Consider the following 23,550-nt stretch of genomic DNA (forward strand, 5'->3'; position numbering starts at 1 on the left):
CTAACTGGATGTGGGGGACAGCTTTCCTTCAAGAAAACAAAACACTAAAAGACACAGCAAGGTGAACTTCCCCAATACCAGCTTACCCAATTGGAAGTCTGAGCTTTGAATAAACAGCAAAATGCTGGCTGAGGCACTGGCCTCAATAACGTACCAAGTACACCTGTTAGAAGCCACAAATGAGAATGGAAGATTTATCTGAAAGGGCAAAAACTCAACATTTTGTGTAATAAAGTACTACCTTTTAAATGCTCAATGATTCCTTAAAAACCTACCACGTTCCCTGCATAAGCCCTGCCCCTTGCTCAGTGCCTGAAGCATGTGCTTTCACACTGGAAAATGCCCTGGGAGAGGAGGACACTCACCCTGATCATCATCTCTCTCTCTATAATGCTGTCTTCCAGGGAAAACATTTCAGACACAGGTCTCTCCTTCACAGGCTCTTTTTTGACCCGCTCCTTCACACTAGTCAGGTCGGGTTCCGAGATGGATGGGCCGAGAGAGGCCCCGTTGACAGCCGGCGGGTCAGTCCGAGACATGCTGATGGCCTTGGCTGGCCCATGCCTCAGCACCCTGGCTCTGGCCATGGCGGGAGGAAGGCTGGCTTGGTCCTGCCTCAGAGCCCCATTGCTCACACTCTTCCTTGGACCGGGGTACTCAGGCGGGGGCTTGTTGGGGATGCGGGCCAGGGCCGCCTGCAGCTGGGCACTGTACTCCATCTTCTCCCGGAGCATGGGGATCTGGGGCACCGATTCTGGAGCCTCCTCCTCCTCCTCCTCACTCTCGCTGCTGTGGATTAGCATAGTGGCATCAGAGAAGGTCTTCTTGTGGTGATACTGAGGGAGCTGGGGGACCTCGTGGCTGCCTGACCCCTCCTCGGGCGGTCCCTGCTCCCGGAGCGTGTTGCGGCGAGCCATGGGGAGGTGGAGCGACTTGAGCGTCATGGCCTCCATGCCCCGCACCATGCTGTTCATCACCTCCAGGCTGTGGCGCTTGTTCACAGTGCCGTGGTGCTTGGTGGCCGTGAGGGGCTCGCTCACCTCCTGGAGAGACTGATGAACCACCGGAGAGCTGTCCTCTTGGAAGGTCTTCACCGAGAGCTGCACCTTCCGGGTCACCAGGTCCGGGCTGCTGCCGCTGACGTACTTGTGGCGGTGGCTGGCCAGGTCTGGGGTGCTGGTGGCAGGTCGTGGCCGTGGGTAGGGGGGCGGTGGCCTGAAGAGATAGTTCTTAAGCATGTGGGCCGTGCTGTAGTTATGGCTGCCCTGCAGCTGCATGTTGGCCAGCTCTGGGGTGCTCACCGTGTGCGAGATGGCGCTTGCCCCCGGCTTGCTTGGTACCACATTATTCTTTGGGTTCCTCTGGTCAGATGGACTGACAAGTTTGTTGCTGTAGACCCCCTGTGGCCCATAAGGGACAGTGTAGGGGTGCCTCTCCCGCATCTCCGGTTGGCTGTACACCAGATCCTCTGGCTGGTTGTAGGCATGGGTGTTGATAATGTTGAGGTTTCTCAGAGACTGGCTCTGGCTGTCTGTATGCAGGATCCCCCTCTTCATCTGGCGCATGACTGTCTCATAATCGGGGGTTGGCCTGTACGAGGGCACGATGATCGCGCTGTGCCGGTGGCTCGGGATGTAGTCGGCCCGCATGATGTCACTCCCAGGGATACTGAGGTTGGAGGATACAGGGGAGGCCTGGATGAAACTTTGCGAGCAGTTGAGGGAGTTGACGCTGTGAACGCTACACACGCTGCCATTGGTGACAGTGCCATTTAAATAATTTAAGTCCAGGCTGTTGTGAGAGTTGCAATACAAGGCTTCTTCATTCCCATGAAAAATGCTGTCTACAAGAAGTCAAACAAAGGCACGTGAACCTCCAAGCCATCCTGCCACAACAAAGTACATCCTCATACTCATGAGGTGACTTTTAATTTAAACAAATCATAAAAAGTGAAATCCCATGGTCTCCACCCACATGTTCTATAGAATAACAGATACTATCTTGGATGAAATGCCAACATACAGAAAGAACACCTTAAGACATACTGAAAAGAAAAAGGGAACCTAATGGAAGAAGGCATGCACACATTTGGAGTAAGTGTCGCTTGAGGAAGTTCTCAATTTTGCCATAAGCTTTGAAATCAGGCACCAACAACAGCCCTCCAGTTGGGGAGGCCTGTCCTCTTGTGCAGGGCTCGGCAATAGGACTGAATATTTAGACAAGACAGTCAAGAACTTTAATAGGGCAATAGATTTCAATTACTAAGTGCTCAGAGCTGCTCTTCCTGACGGCAATGGAAAAAGCCCCTTCACCCAGGGGACTGCAGGGCATTCTAAAGACACAAAACAAATGATGTAGCCAGGGTGTCCGCACAGCTAGTTCATCCTGAGCAGCAATAAAGGGCAAAATTAGAATCAAGAGTTCTTTTTGGTAATTCCCCAAATCCCCTCTAGATCTGGTTTCATCACTTAGGTCAATTCAAGTAAAAATTAATTATAGTTTAAAGAGGTACCTAAAGAGAGAAAAAGCAGATTTCTACAATCAGGCCCAACCTGATTGATTTCTACAATCAGGCCCAACCTGATTGATTTCTACAATCAGGCCCAACCTGATTGATTTCTACAATCAGGTGTCTGGTGTTCTCTTACACACACACACACCCCAAGGAAGGCAACCTCTTGCCTTTCTGTGGCCAAAATATATTCATTTTCACACTACAGATTTAAACATGAGCAAAACAGAGAAACAGAAAATCAGAGAAGGTGAAAAACAGAAAAGGTGACTGAAGACATTCAACTGTCTGAAGAGGAAGAATGTGGAAAGAGATCTGATCAGATGAGACAGGCACAAAAAACAGGGGGAACACAGAGACAAATGTGCCGCAATTTATCCACCTCCCATGGGGTTTGGCGCCTTCCCATAGAAATGTGGTAACTTTGCCAGTCTCCTTATAAAAAGTACTATTTTTATTAAATTAAATAGTCTTGATTGTCTTGGTTTTCATGCTCACACTTTCAGACAGCAGAGGATTCAAAATGGCCAGGAGTTGATAACGTAGAAACTATATTATCCATTTACTACATTTCCAACATCCACGGTTTTCTACCATCTCTCTTTTTGAAATGCAGTTAGCATAACGATTACAAGTTACCGATTTTCATATATAAGTTCCATCATTAATCTCTCTGTATTCCAATTTCTATAACTGTAAAATAGAAATAATAATAGTACCTATAGGTTTATTTTAAGGATGACATAAGACAATATATAGCAAGTACTTACAGCAATACCACAATTGCTCTATGAATGTTAGTTGTTATCATGGAGTCATTACTAGCAGAAGAAGCTTTTTCACACATTTTGCATGGGAGATGTTTTGGGAGAAAGAGAGGAATAAAACAGATTTACCTTACTCAGAGAAGAAAAAAGCAAGTGTACCAAGAAAGGGGCTGGAGAAAGAGATGAGAAAAACAGCTAAAAGAAAAGGCTGACTTTGTTTATTTCTTCCAATTATTCTGCATGCCCGTGTTCTACGTCACCATGAAAAGCTGAGTGACTGCCACGAGCTTTCTGATACTGGCAATGAAGGTGAAGTGCATTCGCTTGGGCTGAGCTGTCATACTCTCTTCTCTAAGCTCCCTTAGGAAAGGGAGGAGAAAAGGACTTGCTCGCTGCCTTGGCCCCGACTCCCTGAGCAGCCAATACTGGGGAAATTTTTTGATCAGAGGTAACTGACAGTCTAGGCCTTCCACAAACTGAAGCTGTTAGCTACTGTCATTCAGACGATGACAAAGTTGAAAAGAAAGCATCCCTGTCATCTTTTTTTTAAAGCCTTCTTTACTGCTTACTGGTATTCAACTTTTTGTCTTAAGAAGGGAGAACGGCAAGCCAGAGTTACCTTGCGAGGTGTGCGTTTCCGAGTAGTGCTCACCACACTGGACGTGAACGGGAGGCAGGATGTACGGCTGCTGCCTGGGCTGAAACAGAGAACACAGAGGAGGTGGGGAGGCCTGGGCAGACACGGCTGGTGACTCACACAGCCGGCCCAGGCACACGGCAGTCCCGCCACGTTGTAAGGGAGGCTCGTGGCAGCTGCTGTCCCTGCCACCCCTTTGACTCAACCTTCTTCTACCCGTCTGCACTCCCATCTCATCACTAAGTTTGGAACTGGAGAAACAGTAAGGGAGAAATGAAGTTGGTTCAAGATCAGAAAGAGAAAGAGGTCACCATCAAAGACTAAATGTAACCATTTACTATCTATGTTCTAATATATTTGCAAAGTTCTCTATGCCTTCTTTCACAAGAATAACTTTTAGAAAAGGTAAATTATTCAAGGCAGGCAGATTGACTGAGCTCAGGAGTTCAAGACCAGCCTGGGCAACACATTGAAATGCCATTTCTATTAAAAATACAAAAATTAGCCAGGCATGGTGGCGCATGCCTGTAGTCCGAGCTACTCGCGAGCTGAGGCAGGAGAATCACTTGAACCTGGGACTTGGAGGTTGCAGTGAGCCATGATCGTGCCACTGCACTTCAGGTTGGGCAACAGATTGAGACTTCGTCTCCAAGAAAAAAAGAAAAAAATTATCTGGGCGTGGCGACATGCACCTGTAGTCCCAGCTACTTGGGAGGCTGAGGCGTGAGAGTCGTTGAACCTGGGCGGCGGAGGTTGCAGTAAGCCAAGATCATGCTACCGCACTCCAGCCTGGCGACAGAGCAAGACTCCGTCAAAAAAAAAAAAAAAAAGAAAGAAAGAAAGAAAGAGAAAGTAAATTATTATAACCCATCTCAGAAATGAGAATAAGGGGGACACCTGTTTTGTTCTCAAAATTCCATTCACAAGCTCCTACACATCAACATAGCTGTGCCTGAGACCCCAGTTCACAGCTCCACATCAACCTTAAATAGGAACAGGGTTAGTGTTAAGCTGAGCCCAGGGTGAATCTATTTAAATATCTAAAATGTGGCCCACAACAATGAGTGTGTAGCTGTCAAGACCACTTGCTGACCTTCCCCATTGCAGAACCAAGTGTGCAAAGGGCCCTGTCTACCCACCACCGCAGTGCAGAATCTTCCACAGTCTGTTAAAGATGGCTATTTAGACTGAACCTGAATAACTTCATGCTGCGGAAGAGGGACAAGTTTTCAGAGAAAAAAACAAAACAAAACAAAACAAAAAAACTTCAATGGATTAAATATTTGGTGAACCAACAAAGGAAAGACGGTTATGCACTAATGTAATCTAGAGCAAGCCATTTAACCTCAGTCGGTCTCAGTTTCCCGTCAGTCAAATCAAGCTCCTCTCTTCCCCTACCTCAAGCATTCTCCATTTTATTTATGTACTGAGGTTCCAGGTAAGAATTTGTTTGAAATAAGAGTTTTGATTTGCGGGGGAAAAAACCCTCAAAACGCTTACGTTTGTAAGCCACCGAACAGGATAATCTCTCATATTTCTTTTTTCTTTTTTTTTTTATTTTCTGAGACATTGTCTCACTCTATTGCCCAGGCTGGAGTGCAGTGGCACAATCTCGGCTCACTGCAACCTCCGCCTCCCGGGTTCAAGAGATTCTCATGCCTCAGCCTCCCTAGTAGCTGGGATTACAGACGCTGTGCCACCAGGCCCTTCTAGTTTTTGTATTTTTAGTAGAGACGGGGTTTCACCATGTTGGCCAGGCTGGTCTTGAACTCTTGACCTCAAGTGATCCACCCACCTTGGCCTCCCAAAGTGCTGGGATTACAGGTGTGAGCTACCGTGCCCAGCCAATCTCTTATATTTCTATTAGCCTTATAGATTTTAAAGGTTACTATTTTGAGAGAAGAATCTCAGATCAAACCAAGAAACCCAAATCCAGCAGGGGTCACACTTTCTCAGCATCCCTCAATGGAAGAAACGCACTGGCCAAGAGCTTGAAGCTGGGTGAATAACTCACCTATCATTTTCTTTGCCACAAACAATGCTTGATCTTCAAAGGGGTAATAAAAAAAAAGGGATCCAAGAATTAAAAGGAATCAAGACAGAAGAAATGAAGAACTGAAATCAATCTAAGAAAGCAGTTCGGGCCTACCAAAGAAAAGGTGCTATATTCCCAAGTCTCCCTTTGGCTGATTTTTGAGTTGCAATTTAAAAATATTTTTCCTTTTCTTGGCAATACATAATTCAACTAAATTTTTCCATGGTAGCACAACCATTTTAAGGCTTTAAAGAAAAACACAGTGGGGAGGGATTTGTACAAGGGAATAGAAATACACAGCAAGGCAAAATTGGTTTACTGTGTTTTCTTGCCTTATTTAAAAAAAACCAATAAGTAAGTTACGGTTTATGAACTGACATAAATGAGCAGACTTATGCCAGTTCACAAACAGCATTGTCAAAGGACAATAATAGCTAATCCCTCAAACATCATTTCAGGATTATATTATTTATTTCATCTCGTTATATATTCTAATACATTATTCCATTTCTTCCCAGACCTGCTAATAGAGAAACAAACTTGACGCCAAAATATAGACAGAAGAGGGCAGGTGAAAAACAGCAATGAGAAGTCCTGGTTATCAGCAAGGAAGCCAAGAGACAGTGTTATTTGGTCTTACTCACTCATTGTAAGAAACTCTTGGTGAAATGGTTTAAACCTAAAGGACAGGGGAAAGGGGGAAGCCATGAATTGGATCAGACTTCCTATAAACTGTCTTCATCCAAATAAAATAGGTAAGCCTCTGCATCCTCTCTGGATAATGAGGACAAGATAAGATCACAAGAGAGCTTTAAAACACTTTGCCTCCCATAGGGTTTCAAGGGTGTAAATGAAAAATTATTTTGCTAATAAAGACATCTATACTCTAAAGAAGGGAAAAGGAAGATAACATTCATAAAGGAGAAGAATAAATAAATCAGTGCCATGAACAAATCTATTGGTACTCGGGGGAAAGCCCAACGTATCTGTTACATTTTCAGGGCCCAGGACCACATGTGAGATATTGTGCATAATACTGAGAGAAATAATATTCACACAGGCACTCAGGAATTACTGCGATAATATAATGACTCAACTCAAGAATTCAGAGTCCACATCTAAGCATTTTCAAGGAAATAAACTTTTCTCAAAACGCTCCCTTCAAAAGACAAGTTAAAGACATGCTATAGTGTATACACTGAATATGAAGAAAAATTCAATTGCATTCTATCAGCTTGAAAGAATTGTTGATCTAGAGAAGTTAAAAGGTCATATGCTTATTTTGATTTTGTGTAAAAAAATCATGACCTAAAATAAAAGAATTGTGAGTTAAAACAAGTGGAAAACATTAAAGAAAACCAATTCTTAACATCTGTTATCCTTGAGTAATCCTCAAAATAAAACATAGCCTAAGACAGAACACATGCATTGAAATTAATTGTGTTTCCTTATTCACATGATGAGGAGAGCAGCTTCAAACAAACAAACAAACAACAAAGCAGCAGCTAAAGCTAGGTCAATTCAAACTCTGCTGGCTAATTAAAGCCTAAAATTATGGAAGTGCTTTGGAATTCTGATTTTTTTTAAAAGGCCTAAAATTAGGAAATATGCAATCAATTTTCCCCATCAGATACTCTGCCTGAGACCATCAACTAGATCCGTTCAATTTTTGCTCATTTAGAAGGCATTTTCTCACTAGTTTATTAAGCTCTCTCTACGGCAGTGAACACAAAGGAATTTGTGGAGCTCGTAACTGAAGATGTATCTTCACACAACAACCAGAACAGATGAGCAAGGGAATGAAAACACACCATGGGCTGTATGCTGATGGAACATGGTCCCACAGGCCTGGAATAAGACCTACTCTCAGGGTAAACCCTCAGCCTCAGCCACACTTAGAGTAGTGGTGGGCATGGATGGGTCCAAGGGGGACAAAACGGGTGTCCATCGCATCTGCTTGACAGAATGACGCCTCTGTGTTCTCACAAAATTTCACCTCATCATGATGCCCTCATCATCCCCCCACCTCAAATTAATAACAAAGAATGCTCAACAGTCAGATCACTTGATCACTGCAGCTTCTATACATACCAGAGAGGATCGGCTCCAGGTGGGCTGGCGTCTGATGGGGGGTGGAGAATTTGACTGTCTACATGAAGAGGTGAAAAAATGAGAATGGTTATTATTATTGATATAAAAAGACCAGATAGACAAGGGAAGGAGAGGAAGAGAATAAACAAGACTGGTAATCGTTATATCAAAACATAAACGTGGCTTATTTCTGGGTGGTAACACTAAGAACAATCTTGATTTGCTTTGTTTTTCTTTATTTTCAAAATGTTCGGATAAGGATACTTTTAGAATAAATTTTACAAAGTAATATTAAACCAATGGAGGCTTATTTCTATAGAAAGACTGAGGGAAATAAGCCAGACTGAAAAATATCACCATTATTACATGGATTTTAAAAAATTGTACTCTTTCTACTGTTGTATATATGTAAAATCTTTCACAGTTTTTAAAAAAAATGCAAGAAAAAATATTTTTAAAATACTTCCAGTCAAATGAAAATACAAAATAGATACAATATTTTTAGTGTGACCATATAAAGATACTTTTTATTAAGATAACACATTTTACAAACATTGATCAGATATTTTCCAGACTAAGAAGCAACATATTTTTAAATGTAGAGATTAAAAAATGAATTGGAAGTATTAGCAAATTCTTTAGAGTTGAAATCAAAGACGCCTTCAAGCAACAGGTCCCAAATGCTATAATACTTTCCCTCATTCTCAGTGTTACCATAAAAAAAAAAAAAAAACCCAGGACATGTACAGTTTTTTATTAAGGTAAGTTCTTCAATTTAAAGGACTCTCCTTATTCTGAGATTTCATCCTTCCTAATTTTTTGGTGATAAAATATCTTTTATGAAATGATGGAGGTAATATAGCAATGGTGGATTTTTAAATGACTGGCTAAATAATACAATATTATCAGACCTATGTTATATATACCGCCGCCTAATTTTTCTCCCTATAACAAGAAATTGAGGAGCCACTCAATTGAGCTATACCTCCAGATGACAAGCAGCAGCTCTGCAGGAGCAGAAAAATCAATAACGATCTTTTAGAGGTCAGAGAGTATCGCCCTCTGGAGAAGGATGCTGCTGTGCATGCATGGAGAAGGATGCTGTTAAGATTATGCCAGTTCACAGAACTCCAGAGGGATGCCCCAGGCCATAACATCGTGCTGGGACGCTGAACTGCATATGGAATTTAATGGGGGAGAGAGAGAAAGAGAGAGAGAGAGCGAGAGAGAGTATAATTTTGAGAGCGTGCCCCAGGTTTTAATCAGGTAAGAGGTTAGGAACCTCTTATACTTGGTTAGGAAGAAGAAAGGAATGGTTATTACAGAAGCAGAATTGAGAAACAGAATTTCTTCTTAGTTTTCAGACTAATATGTGATGTTCACTAATACTGAAGGAAACGACCACAAAAGGAAAATAAACACTCCGTAAATTTTATAGTAAAACCATCTGCTGAGCTGTGGTTAAATCAGAAGACAAGAGTAAAATCCAGTTCTCAGTTTTTAAATTCATCCTACAGAAGTCAAGGATAGCATTCTTGTTCATGTCAAAGACACCCCCAGAAGTCAAAGGCAACAGCAGAGTAGAAATACACAGAAGTGACCTATCAGGAACCTGCTCAAGAGAATGGTGTGGTGCGGCACATGCGAGAATGTGTCTAGAAGAAACGTACAGCCGCTTCACTTGCCACTCCCCGATCAGGCCTTCTTCTGATTCACATTTGCAAACCAAGCAGGTAGGCCTAATACTGTCAGACATACTTTCAGACCCCGACAGTGACCAATTGCAGTGACTGGCTTGAAAGAGCCTCCACGGTGTGGAGAAAAAAGTCTGCCATGACCTGGCGCTCCAGCTATAAAGCAGCCGCGTTCTTCAGCAGGAACTGCTCTAGGACAATACTCTACATACTCTCGGATGTGTCCACTGTGGGAGTGGAAAAGCAGTTCTTCTCTTGCATTTATAACCCTGACGCTCTTTGAAACAAAATTAAACACATTGGGCGCCCAAACCGCTGAATGTATTCAGCTGAGGAACGTCTTTTGAAGGTAACCAAGAAAAAGACAACGATAGAGTGAGCCCCAGCACGCTCCATCTGAGGTCAGGCCGCATTTAAGTGCCCTCATCACACGCCTCTTTATCATCTTTATTTCCAAATTAAATTAAAAAAATACACACGGATTTGTGACACCTATGAGTGTCTTCCACATCTTCCTCTAATTACCCTGGCCTCTCATTTACAGTCAGATGACATGACCCAGGAGCACACGCAGGGTTAGCCAACTGTGTAAGCGACACGGGGCTGAGGATGACAGGAGCGTCTTCTCTTTCAAGCTAGCTCGTCACTCTGTTACCCACTTCTGAACACACTCCACGTCTGACACGAAGGGGCACCCTGGCAAATTGGGAACTGCACCGCTTCTCCAAACTTCTAGCAGAGGGTTGGAAAGGCGCTAATGTGGGCCAACCCATCCAGGCAGCCAAGCATTCACAGTCAATTTGTGAATTATTCTCTCTCTAGGCATATGCACGACACTAGACAGTCTTCATCATTAAAGTTTTCATTCCTGCCCTGGCTTTAGCTTACTTCATTAGCTTCTACAAGGAACAAGGAAAAAGAGTGAATAGGAAAAGAGATCTACAGCACCCCAAAAGGACATTAATTTAATCTGACAAAGCCATCAAGTCGGGGGGGATTAAATGTTTACTTACTCAGTGCAGATTTTGTTTTGTTTGTAAAACTTGTGTCGTGTGGCAAACAACCGAGAAATATACTTGGCATTTTCGATATCATCCTTGGAAAAGAAGAGACAGAGAAAAAAATAAACATTTGTTGAATTAGTTATACATTTCATTAAGATTCTTCTGAGGAGGGACACACATCCCTTCCAACCTTCATCTCAAGCACAAAATAATACATGGGCCAGCAAGGTAAACCAGCCTGCTGAATTTCAGCAGCAGCTATGCCTACAAAGCCTGCCAAAGAGTGGCAGAACCTGCTGTCTGCTAAGGAATCCCTATGCCCAAAGTGCTGGGGTTACACTGATGAACCAGCATGTCTTTATGTAATTTCCGACCAAGTGCTTTCAAAATAAATAACTGAATCAAGGCACAGCATAGAATAAACACCAGACTTCTTAAATTGGAGGCAGTGAGATGCCTTGGCTCTCGAGGAGGCACTCAACAGGAGGTCAGTCCCTCAGCTACTTCAGATTAAGCTAAGGCTATGATGGGAAAGAAAACTTAGGTCCTCCAGCAAAAGCAAATGGAATGCAATAGAATCAGGGGTCACTAGATGAGGGCTGTAACTAGAGTGCTGAGGAAGGCGGCACACCAGACAATGTGATCCATCACACATAAGGCAGTTGGAGGGACCAGAGTCCTAGAGTCAAAAGTCAGCTTGGAAACCTGGTATTTTATTTTATTTTATTATTTTATTTTGTGAGATGGAGTCTAGCTCTGTTGTCCAGGCCGGAGTGCAGTGGCGCAATCTTGGCTCATTGCAACCTCTGCCTCCTGGGTTCAAGCAATTCTCCTGCCTCAGCCTCCCGAGTAGCTGGGACTACAGGTGCCCACCACCATGCTTGGGTAATTTTTGTATTTTTAGTAGAGATGGGGTTTCGCCATATTGGCCAGGCTGGTCTCAAACTCCTGACCTCAAGTGATCCACCGGCCTCGGCCTCCCAAAGTGTTGGGATTACAGGCATGAGCCAGAAACTTGGTATTTTAAACATGGGTATTTCATCACCACTATCCTGGAATGAGTAATGACAGCACTGACCAAGTATTAGAAAGCATCTCTTCAAGGGAGTATTTATTATCTCAAGATAGGGAGAGCAAGGAAAGGACATTAGGAGTTGAAAAGTCCAAAAGCCAGTGTCTTGTCAGACCCTGACTGTTTGTCTGTTGTGCTTACCGTGTGAAAGAGGGCAGTCTCTTCTTTGTTGATGAGCTCCACTAGAATGGTCGACTTGTTATGAGTGATATTCCCCATGTCATTCCACCTGGTTAGAAGAAATGTCACTGTGTTTACTCAACAATGTTCCAGGCATTTATGATACAGCAGAGGAGGGCTGTTTGCTGCTATCAAGTCTCATTTAACAAACTATGATTTAACTATTTTTTAAGTGAAATGTTCTTTCAAACGAGAAAAGAAAATGCAACACATATCCATTCAAATTGCTAAAAATTCTACATAAAATACGTCTAGACATCGCTATTTATAAACTATAGTTTTCTTTGTGACTAGCAATGAGGAAAATCTGCAAGGGACTTTTACTTCTCCCTCTCCCATTTTTTCACATTTCCAAAGTGACAAAACATTTCCCATGACCACCACTTTTTAATGATGGAGGAGCACATATTATTAAAAATCATGTGTTTCCAGGAACCTAAATAGAAGAATCCACATATTCTGTATTGCAATATGCACTACAGATTCATGATGCCACTAAGAAAAAACGCCTGTTGAAGCAGGAATGACAAGAAAGATCTTTCAGGCTATAGAATAAACTTTTTGACTTTGGACTTAGTGTCAGCTCCATATGCCTGCCACTAAGTATAAATTAATTGACTCTCTAATGTGCCTACACTTTGGGACCCAACAACACACACACACACACACACACACACACACACACACACACACACACAGAGTTTCCTTCCCTGTCTTCATGGAGACCTTATCTAAAAGGAGATACACCAAAATAAGCACCAGATGAGGAAAGATAAGCTACTGCTTCCCATCCTACTTGGAACCAATTTCTAACCATCTTTTACCCTTCACCTGGTGCCCCAACCTGTAATTCCCTGCCACCGCTTTTTCACTCATATGATGCGTCTGCTCATTAATACTTCTACCATCCTCTGTTTGGATAATAATTTTGAGACTCAGCTCTGGGAGTCACCTTCTCTAGGAATCCCTTCATCATATCCCCCTACCCACACGTGAGGAGAAGAGCCTGCTGCAGTCCCCTACCGGTCACCACATTGCATTATAATTTTTACTTCTGTGATGAGATCTCTGATGAGACCAAGCAGACCACAGGCCCCATACCCGGTGCAGGGATTCTGCCTTCTTCGTTTCTGTGTTCCAAGCACTGAATCGAGTACCTGGCCCAGAGCACTCAATAAATGTCTGCTAGAAGAATAAAAAGCAATAATATTGTCTCTTAGCTGTATAGAGTCCGATTCTTACACCAACTCTTTATGGCAGCTATTTTTGCTCCTACTTTAAAAATGAGGCAATATAGACACAAATAAGTACCTGACTTAGCATGTTTACTCTCTATGTCAAGGATGGATGAGCTCTTTACCTGGGGTTTCCAGCCTTTCCTCCAGTCATCATTCCCTTATACCAGTACTAAATGTTTTTAGGTACCTCTGCTGGGGCAATACTCTCTAATAGTGCTGCACCCAGCTTGCTTCACAACCTACAGTTCTATCAGATTACATCTACGTGGACTCATAGCTACATGCTCCTTAGTGAAGGTCTCTAGAGATAAGAGATATTTGGTTTCCTCTGGCCTCATTCCTTCAAATCAACTGCTGAAATCCTAGATATACTCGGAGCCCCGCCACATGACTTCATCTAGTGGTATAATTAACATGACACTACAGTAGATGTGAATTCTCATCTTGTAGTGGTTTCAAGATAAATGAAAAGGTCTGGAAGCAGTTTCTAAGGAAACTAAGCAAAACCTGTGAGTGGCTTATGCTCATGAAATTTCCAAATTGCAATTTTCTTCTATTTCACTTCAGTAGCTGGTGTGCAAGACTTGTTTACTTCTCTGCTGTGCTGTAGGTTCAAACAGAAACTGAAACATTGATTTAACTATGAAGAACTGGTAGGACTCAATGCCTGGATAGCTTTGAATGGGTATAAAAATTTATAGTTACAACTCTGCACATATTTACATATTTTCCTCAATTAATTTATACTTTGTGGCAGATATATGGAGCTGACAGTAAGTCCAAAAGTCAAAAAATTTATTCTATAGCCTGAAAGATCTCTCTTGTCACTCCTGCTTCAATAATGTCTCTATTCAGAGAGCAAGAGAATATCATAAAAACAATGACAGACTGGGGATCTAGGAAAATAAAAGCCTACCAGGAAGCTTTTGGTTAGAAAACTGTCTCAAAATGACCTGCTGTGGTTACTGATCCAGAGAGTACATGGCCAGTTAAGAGTCACTTCCAGAAGGTGGGCTATGCTTGCCTCCAAGAGCTATCTTTGATAGTGTGCCCTGGATACACAGATCCGCCTCAGACACACATACAAGAAAGCTGTTCTTCCAATCATGGGCCATGTTGCCCTTGTAAATGAAAGCTAGAACACAGTTTTTCAGATCATTGGCATTATGATAAAATCTATGGGCACCAATACAAAGCAAGCATACTGACATGAAATGCAGGGGGGAGATGGCTGCATCTCTACACTGGTGCCATTCCTGATAAATGGAAAAGAGGACTGAAGTGTCAAAATAATGAAAAGTACCAAAGCCCCCTAATTCATCATAATAAATAGATTGCTTTTTCAAAACACATTTTTAAAACTAATCACCTTTTGTTCACATAAAAATCAGTTGGCACTCTTGTGGCACAGGTGGTTCAGAACAATGGAAAGAAGTGTTTAGAGTTAATGACTGACTGGAGAGCCAGTTTTCAACCAGACTCACGAAGTTTAGTTTCATCCTTCTAACTCAATAGAGTTCAACAATGTAGTTCCTGGAATCAGGTGGGATGGGTTTCTACGAAAAGTGAGATGAATTTAACTGCTTAAATCCTGCAGAGGGCTCACCTTATATGAGCTGAGAGAAGTCAAATCTTATCCACAGTTTGGCTCTTAACTCATTTGGATGTTAATGTAACATTAACATTACAGTTCCTCAAGGTAAAAAAGAAAAAAGAAAAACAAACAAATAAGACTACCTGTATATTACCGCTTGTCTTCCAATTCTGTTCCTCACGAAAATCCCCATAAAGAAAATGCCAAGGTGTACACAGTTTCCATGATTGTCCTGGGTAAGACCAACAAAAGATACTTGTGATGACCCATGTTCACTGCAACATTATTCACAATAGCTAAGATATGGAATCGACCTGAGTGTCCATCCACAGATGAATGGATAAAGAAAACGTGGTACATGTGTGTACAAGGGAGTACCATTCAGCCTTAAAACAGAATAAAATTGGCATTTGCCACAATACAGATGGAATTGGAGAACACAATGCTAAATGAAATAAGCCAGGTACAGAAAGCAAATAACACGTGTTCTCACTTACACATGGAATCTAAAAAACTGAACTCATAGAAGGATAGAGTATAATGGTGGTTACCAGAGGCTGGAGAATGGGAGGAATGGGGAGATGATGGTCAAAGGAAATCAAGCCTTGTTAGACAGGAGGACTAAGTTCAAGGTATCATTGTGACCATAGCATAGTTAGTAACAATATATTGGTGTTTGTTGTTGTTTGTTTGTTTTGAAACAAGGTCTCACTGTTGCCCAGGGTGGAGAGCAGTGGCACAATTTTGGCTCACTGCAGCCTTGACCTCCTGGGCTCAGACAATCCTCCTACCTTAGTCTCCCAAGTAGCTGGGACTACAAGCATGCACCACCATGCCCTGCTAATTTTTTTTTTTTTTTTTTTTTTTACAGACAGGGTCTTGCTATGCTGCCCAGGCTAGTGATCCTCCATCCTCGGCCTCCCAAAGTGTTGGGATTACAGGTGTGAGCCACTGTGCCCGGCAACAATGTACTGTATTCTTGAAATCACTAAAAGAGTAAATTTTTTTTTTTTTTGAGACGTAGTCTCACTCTGTTGCCAGGCTGGGGTGCAGTGGCGTGATCCCGGCTAACTGCAACCTCCACCTCCCAGCAGGTTCAAGCGATTCTCCTGCCTCAGCCTCCTGAGTGGCTGGGACTACAGGTGCATGCCACCACACCTGGCTAATTTTTATATTTTTAGTAGAGACAGGGTTTCACCATGTTGGCCAGGATGGTCTCGATCTCTTGACCTCGTGATCCACCCGCCTCGGACTCCCAAAGTGCTGGGATTACAGGCGTGAGCCACCGTGCCCGGCCTAAAGGAGTAAATTTTAAGTGTTCTAACCACAAAGAAATATGTGAAGTAACGCATATGTTAACTGGTTTGATTTAGCCACTCCACAATATACACGTTATTTCAAAACCCACAGGCATCACATCCCATTTCTCACCCATGAGTAGAATAAATCATAGACAACATCACAGCAATAAGGTGACCAGCTGTGTCGGCGGGGTCAGGTCCTACAGGAACTCACCCACCACACATCCTAGTGGACTATATAGATAGAGAGATAGATATTTTTTTCCTTTTTTCTCAATTTGTCACAACACATGTCCAGTTTAAGAGACAATCTCTGGATTTTCTCAGATTCATTGGCATTTGGATTTTCTCTTTCATGAACATCTATTGATGTCTTTTATTTTTCAACCTTACCAAAGTTTTTGTTTTTTAAATCGTTATACATGCAATAATTTGAAGAGTTGAATATTCTTCAGGGCTTGTTTAAAGGAAGCCAAGAGGAGACCTGTCCCTACCACTTCCTCTGCACAGAGGCCAAAACTTTCACCTCTTAAAGCTCTCGATGTGTCTCTTTGCAGCTACCATCTCTGGCCCTTTCAGTGCAGAAACTCCCATTCTTCAGTGCAGGGATATTTTCTCGAATAATTACCTTTTGTTTCCCTTGTTCACTCTTTTTAGAACTCCCATTATTCAAATATTGGACATCCTGGACAGGTCCTCTAATTCTTTTATCTCCTGTCCCCGACTTACCATTACTTTGTTTTTTGGTGAGACTTTCTCAGTTTTATCTTCTAACCTGTCTATTAGGTTGTACACTTCTGATATCACATTTTAAATTTCAGAGTTTATTTTTGTTTTCTAGATGCATCTTTTTGTAAGTATCTTACTCCTTCAAGGAAGCAAAATTTAAAAAAAAATATATCCTGAGGCTCACTGGATAGTATTTTGAGCAGGGGGTTCTTCTTCCTGTACAACATCTGCATCTGCCAGTCCACTGCTGTTCTACTCTTGAAAATTTTTGAGGAACCACTCACGGAAAAGTTCATGCTAAATTCAAGTATTTTTCCTAGGATATATCATGACATGCTTTTTGTCAATAAGAACCTGTACCAATCAAAAGAGACTCCAGTCCTACTCACAGTCTTTCCCTGCATATTTTCTTGTCTGCTTTTTCACTTATTGCAGAGCTGACCACATTACCACCCCCCACTGGTACTGTTGCTCCCACCCTCATCCTTGAGTCACCAGGAATCATGCGGTCTATAGGTGGTCACCTTAGATATGCACACATATGTGGGGGGAAAGAGAAGAAAAAGAGGCAGTCCAGCTCAGTTACCCGAGCTTGGCAATAAGTCAGAAGCGCCTATCTTCCAACTCAGAGGAAGGTATTATAACCCTGTTGGTCCCACTAAAGAAAGAACATACTAGAAAGCACATCAGAACCAACCACAGCAGATTTCAACATGACCTCAACTGCCCCTGTTTCTCGCAGTCCACATTAAAAAACAACACAAGCAAATTGCCACAACAAAACCTCCAACTTCCAGAGATTGAGAAGTCAGTTTTCTAGAAGCAGAGAAAAGTTTACTCTGATTTTTCAATGACCCAAAATATGACTATATATGGGCTGCAGAAATGTAAGTGGGATGCAGATGGCTTCATAAGGCATTATGGCAAGGAAAATGGATTACAACCCTATGAAGGGCAGCTATTAGAGAAGCAAAAGAAAATTAAACAAATCTAAAAAAGAGCCATTTAGCCCTTTCTGAAAGCTGCGGCCACCCTGCTCGATTCTACTTGATGCACATGGGCAGTTCTCATTAAGGCAAATTGCAAACGTGCAACAGAGGGGGAACTGAACACTTATAAAACAGCCAGTGGAGCTAGTCTGGAGTGAAATGTTTGTGCTGAAATTGCAGGCATCTCCCAAATTGCTGAAATGTGCCAGTTGCTTTAGGTTTCTGATAAATCTCCATTTTTTGTAAAGTTGGTCAACAGAGAGTGGAAAATGAGTTTGGATGATGGGCTCAGCTCTATAAATGACTATGATCCATGACCCCCCCAACCACACCCACTTCAGGAGGTGGATGTGCTGCAAAGGATGTGATGTGCTATAGCAGTTTCCGAGGCATAGCTTCCATAAAACACCAAAGGGGCTAGGAACCCACAGGGGAGGGCCCTATAAAGCTGGAGAAATAAAGCATGATTGTATACAAGAAACGTTTCATTCTACCTCACAAACGATTATCCCTGTATTGGCTCAATGAAGAGAAAAAGAGAATAAGAAAACTACTGACTAGAGTCTTCATTAATGTTACACATGACATTGGCTACTTGTCCTGTTATAAGGCTGGATATCAGCCTTGATACCTCCAAGGTGCCGGATTGGCTGATGCTTGGTACTCACTTAGATGGACTGTCTTATTGAACTATTCTGCTGAGGACCATGGCAAACTTCAAAACGTCTTGGTTAAGAAAAAGCATTTGTTTATCTATAATAAATTGGACTTGCCAACTAAGGCTGCATAGCAAAAAGAAGGCCAAGCCATTCTGGCCCACTGCTATCAACAATGGTTTTCCAAATGCCAGTACCGGTCTGAGAAGGTTAAAGCCAGCACAGGGCACAGCATATTACCTTTACAGGGAAGATTTCCTGTCCAAATCCATCCAAACGTTCAACTTCATTGATGTACATCAGTTCAGCTTCTGCTGGCAGGATTCCACTAAAATCAAAATAGCATCAAAGGAAGAAATGGTTAAGGGCAGCCAGTGGAAGATCCCACTCTCCTGATGGCAAATTCCAGAGCTGTGGTTTAGCTCTAGTTTCTGGGAAGAGCAATCATTACCCAACTGTGAGGGTAGGGTGCATTACTAAGTAATTCATTGACATCTTTCCCAGTAGCCTTTTACTTAACAGCGAATAATAAGAGGAAGGTAAAGTATTTAATTAAGAGCCACAGCCCTGTAAACATGAAATCATTATTCCAGACATCCCTTCGAATATGTTGCCTACTTTAAAAAGAAGTTATTTTTCTCCCATCTGGGAGAAATCTTCATTATTAAAAAAAAAAAGGAAAAAGTTTATCATGAGGATAATATTTTGGGAGTCAAATGGCCGTGGCTCATGCCTATAATCCCAGCACTTTGGGAGGCCGAGGCAGGCAGATCACTTGAGGTCAGGCATTTGAGATCAGCCTGGCCCACATGGTGAAACCCCATCTCCACTAAAAATACAAAAATTAGCTGGGTGTGGTGGTGCATGTGCCTGTAATCCCAGCTACTCGAGAGTCTGAGGCATGAGAATTGCTTGAACCCCGGAGGTGGAGGTTGCAGTGGACCGAGATCGCACCACTGCACTCCAGCCTGGGTGACAGAGCGAGACTCTGTCAAAAAAAAAAAAAAAAAAAAAAGCCACGATGAGAGAACTTAGGATCACTGCATAGGCCTCGATATCAAACTCCTGGTGCTTCCTTGAATTAAAGTTTCTCTCTTTTTCTTTCCTTCACCTGCCTACCACCCAACACAGCACTTTAGGTCTTCACTCTCTCAGCACAGGCTGTCTCAGGCTTCCCAGATTCTCTAAGGAAGGAAGGAAGGAAGGAAGGAAGGAAGGAAGGAAGGAAGGAAGGGAGGGAGGGAAGGAAGGAACGGAGCAGTTTTCAAGTGGACATTCACTTTTGCAGAACGGAAGTACAGAGCTGAGTCACGTGGTGGAATAAATACAAGTGTGTTGGCTCAAGCCCAGAGTTGCTGATAGGGAGATGGATGCCTCCTGCCCCATGGGCTGTAAACATCTGTTGTGCAGGCAGCCCCTTACCCTCTGCCTGCCTTACCTGTGGGCTTTGTGTTCTTGGGCTACCTTCTGGGTCAGCTCCTCCAGAACAGCCTCTTCCAGGGCCAAATCCTATAAGAATAGAAAGTGCTTAAGGTCACATGAGGGTGTGGGCATTTGCTATTTTGCTTGCAAATCTTAAAGCTCCCTTCCTCAGATGTTCCTGATTAGTCACATTTCCTCAATATCTCCTTTACTGCTGTAGAATTAAAGGTTGTAATTTTTAGAACTGAGTTATGATTTCTACTGTTATAACACGGCTCTCCATTATAACAGGTTATTTCCAGGCATATTTTGGGTTGCCGCGTAAGTTCTGTGGTGCCAGGGAATAGCTCTTTTCATTCATTCTTCCCTATCCGCCTGCCTCTCAGATGTACGTTTATAAAAAATGCTTTGCGTGTGCTTACATATTTCTAATGATTGGGGTATAGGCCAATGAGTTTCCAGGCCATCATCCCTTCAAAAGTTGAGCCTAGGAAGGGACTGTGCCAGGCCTTTCTGTATACCAGGAAACGAATTCAAAACCACTGAAGGCAGAGTAGGCTCATTCTGATGTTACTTGATGGTCACGGGGGCAGAGGAAGCCATGACGGCTAAAACATCTCCAGAGAGCTCTGTAAGGCAACAGTTGCGTAGCTGACTAGTCAGCATCTCTACCAGCTGAACCCCAGGCCCCTGGAACCTGTGATGTGCTGACTACTATGGGCTCAGAAGAACTGATTACACACATCTTTTCCCAACTACCCTTCCGTAACACCACAGTGGGAGGATTTACATCACAGAAATAGGCTTGCTAAACACTGGCCAGGGAAGCACTGCTTAGGATGGTGAGATGGAATCAAGAGGAATAATCCAAAATAAGCAGACCGAAGCAATGCATTCTTGAGAAATTGATAGAGGTAGAGATTCTAGAGTTTGTCTCATGCCTGTGGTGGCCTGGGGCTCAAGCCCCAAGCCAGCTGCCTCTAGCTTTCCTGGGCAGCAGGTCCCACATATTCCAGGCTAGTAAGCACCAAGAGGGTCACAGATGGGCACCATTTTCCTGTGACCTCCAGAGCAGATGTCAGAAGGAACTCTGAGCTACACCCTGATGGGTACCTGAAGCTCATCCTACTAGGATGGGAGGTAGGGACTGATGTTTTGGCAGAAATCATACCAAACGCCCCATTCCTTTGATTCTAAAATACCACTTATATAAAGATTCATCTCCAACTTAACTTTACATGGATGAAAACACTACCCCTAAAAATGTACACCTCAAAACTGTGAAAAACATCCCATCTCAAATCATTAAAATCTGAAAAATCAATATATTTTAAAACTGGAAAGCACAGACATAAATGTATGCTAAAAATTCTATAGCTCTGCACATCCTGCTAATTCTAGAGTTCACGAGAGACTTTAGAGCAGACGGGGAATTATGGCAGCTCTTACTTTTCACATAACTGATTAATTTGCGGTTTCCTGTTTAGCCATCCATTGAAATGACTCAAGTCCGTGATAGGAAATAAGCTCAACATTTTTAGTTTCATGTTGTGGAGTAACAAAGATATCACAAGGCTTAGAAAGTTAGCTATGTATGTGCATCCAGGTATTGAGTAAAAACCCCATTAATTTTGAAAAGCTAATGAAGGGCATGTGGCAACAGAATATAAAATAAAGTGAAGATCAAAAAGTGTTCCATTAAATCTCCGTTTCCTACTTTTAAAAAGAAGCCCAAAGGTACCCCCTCTGCTATTGTTCTCAACTTAACCGCCTCCATCTGCACCTGGGGCCTCCCTGAGGTATGTGCCCTGCCAGGGAGAGTGCGAGCATGGCCCTGTGGGAATGAAAAATGGCAGAATGCATGCCTGTACACAGCCACACACCTGTGGAGCGCCTTGTGTACTTGACTTTGTTCTTTTCTCTGCTGAAGAAATGCCATTTAACAAATTCAATTACTTCATAAGATCAAACACAGCCATTCATCCTATCTTCCCTCCCCCACCAAAGGAATGCATTCTCTTTGAAAGCTCCAGTGGAACCAAGGAAAAAGTTTACACCCTTCTAAGACTACCCCCGGCCTACTCAGCAAGGTCAACACCTGGGCCTGGCATGCAGACCATTCTTCAATGTGACTCAGCTTCCCCTTCCAGACCTCCTTGCCCAAGAGGTCAAGCCCCAGGCCGACACCTCTTCTAACACACACTGCTTTTACATTTCCATTCGGAAAGGATGGGCCTTTACATGCCCATCCCCTCTGGGAGAACCATCCCATAACGTCATGCAGTGTGAAATGCCACATCATCCTTACGTCCTGTCTCAGCTACCACTTCCCTCAATAGGGCTCTCCTCTCTCCCCAGCTGGACGTAAGCATTTTCGCCTTTTGAACTACCTCTTCCCCTTGTGCGTGTCTCTTCTCGTATTCTGCCTACTGCATTTCTTACACAGTTATGTGTATACTCGTCTTATCCTTGATCCTTGTCTCCCACCCTCTATCAGAGTACAGGCTCCTCGAGGGCAGCAATTCTTCTTCATATCACTTAAGGGGCCTATCATAGGGCTTTTGTGCAATGACAGCTTATAAGGGCTAAATATATAGTAAGTGATCAATACATGCTTCTTGAACTGAACTCACTATGCGACATGTAAATTTCATATTGTCAAACAAAAGTTTAATTACACAGAGCTGATTAACAATCACTTGTACCTTCTGCCTGCACTCTGTCTGCTCACATAACAAAATCCAAAAAAAAAAAAAAGCATAGAGTGATGTTACCTGGAAAACACACTCTTCAACGGTCTTATATTTGCAAGACATAGAGACAGAATAATAGTGCTAATAACAATAATAATATGACAACTAAATAAACAGTTATTGAGAATTTACCATGTGGCAACTTGTATTATGTATTTCATACTAGGTATTTCACAATGTATTATGTCTTTTAATGCTTACAACGAAATTAGGCTTGTTATTCTCATTTTTAGATGAGAAAACTGAGGGTTGGAAAGGTTAAAAAACTTGCCCAAAGTCATATAGCCAATAAGAGGCACAGCTGGGATAGGGTCACAGCACTGCCTAGCAAAGGTGCCACGAGATTGCCAACCACAGGTCACAGTGCACCCAGGATACAATGGGGCAGGGGCAGGGGCTGAAAGTGGACAGCTGATAACTAAAGCCTAGGAATATTCACAACTCGGATAAGGCTTCTGCCACATCATCTTCAGCATCCCACAGGACTTTTTGGGATGACGAAAGTGTTCCATATCTGAGCTTTCCAATACAGTAGCCTCTAGACACATGCGGCTATGGTGCACTAAAAATGTAGCCAAGGCCGTTGCAGTGGCTCAGCCTGTAATACCGGCACTTTGGGAGGCCAAGGAGGGAAGATCACTTGAGGCCAAGAGTTTGAGACCAGCCTAGCCAACATGGTGAAACTCCATCTCTACTAAAAATACAAAAATTAGCCAGGCATGGTGGCACATGCCTGTTGTCACAGGAGGGACTTAGGAAGCTGAGGCAGGAGAATCGCTTGAACCCAGGAGGCGGAGGTTGCAGTGAGCTGAGATTGCGCCACCGCACTCCAGCCTGGGTGACAGAGCGAGATTGTCTGAAAAAAAAAAAAGAAAA

The 23,550-nt window shown here is 42.9% G+C and overlaps 1 protein-coding gene across 6 annotated transcripts in view; it reads right to left on the reverse strand.

Annotated features, from left to right (window-relative positions):
• The window catches only part of PTPN14 (protein tyrosine phosphatase non-receptor type 14), a 202,903-nt gene that overhangs the window by 34,246 nt on the left and 145,107 nt on the right, over positions 1-23,550 (reverse strand). For all 6 annotated transcript variants that reach the window (NM_005401.5, XM_017001941.2, XM_024448759.2 and 3 more), the window contains 8 exons: positions 19,938-20,008; positions 18,740-18,827; positions 14,968-15,056; positions 11,954-12,041; positions 10,750-10,832; positions 8,043-8,100; positions 3,899-3,977; positions 366-1,843 (listed from right to left, as the gene is read on the reverse strand). In NM_005401.5, coding sequence (NP_005392.2) covers positions 366-1,843; positions 3,899-3,977; positions 8,043-8,100; positions 10,750-10,832; positions 11,954-12,041; positions 14,968-15,056; positions 18,740-18,827; positions 19,938-20,008 — 2,034 coding nt within the window. The remainder of the gene's footprint in view (positions 1-365; positions 1,844-3,898; positions 3,978-8,042; positions 8,101-10,749; positions 10,833-11,953; positions 12,042-14,967; positions 15,057-18,739; positions 18,828-19,937; positions 20,009-23,550) is intronic.

Source organism: Homo sapiens, chromosome 1 (genome assembly GCF_000001405.40).
Source record: "Homo sapiens chromosome 1, GRCh38.p14 Primary Assembly".
Taxonomy (NCBI): domain Eukaryota; kingdom Metazoa; phylum Chordata; class Mammalia; order Primates; family Hominidae; genus Homo; species Homo sapiens.